The following is a 324-nucleotide window of genomic DNA, read 5'->3' as shown; positions in this document are numbered from 1 at the left end:
ACCCCCAACGAGCACTTCCGCTTCCCGCAGCTCCAGCGGCCGGCCGGGAACTTCGCTGGAGCAGCAGAGTTCCGGAGCGCGGCGAAGGCTCCCACGCCGCGGGAGGGAGGAAAGGCGTCCGCGGGACGGTGGAGGCAGGCGGCGGGGCAGGCCTGGGGAGTTACACCCGCTCCGCACAGCGCCCTGGGCTCCGGGCGCCTCTCCGCACCGGGCAGGAGTTTTGGCGGGAGGGATTCTGGCCCGGCCCTCCCACTTTCTCTGCCCCTCGGAGGCAGGTGGCAGCACAGGACCGCGTCCAGGCCGAAGGACAGCGGGGCTGGCTAC

The sequence above is a fragment of the Homo sapiens genome, chromosome 12, assembly GCF_000001405.40.
Source record: "Homo sapiens chromosome 12, GRCh38.p14 Primary Assembly".
NCBI lineage: Eukaryota > Metazoa > Chordata > Mammalia > Primates > Hominidae > Homo > Homo sapiens.
This window is presented reverse-complemented; position numbering follows the sequence as displayed.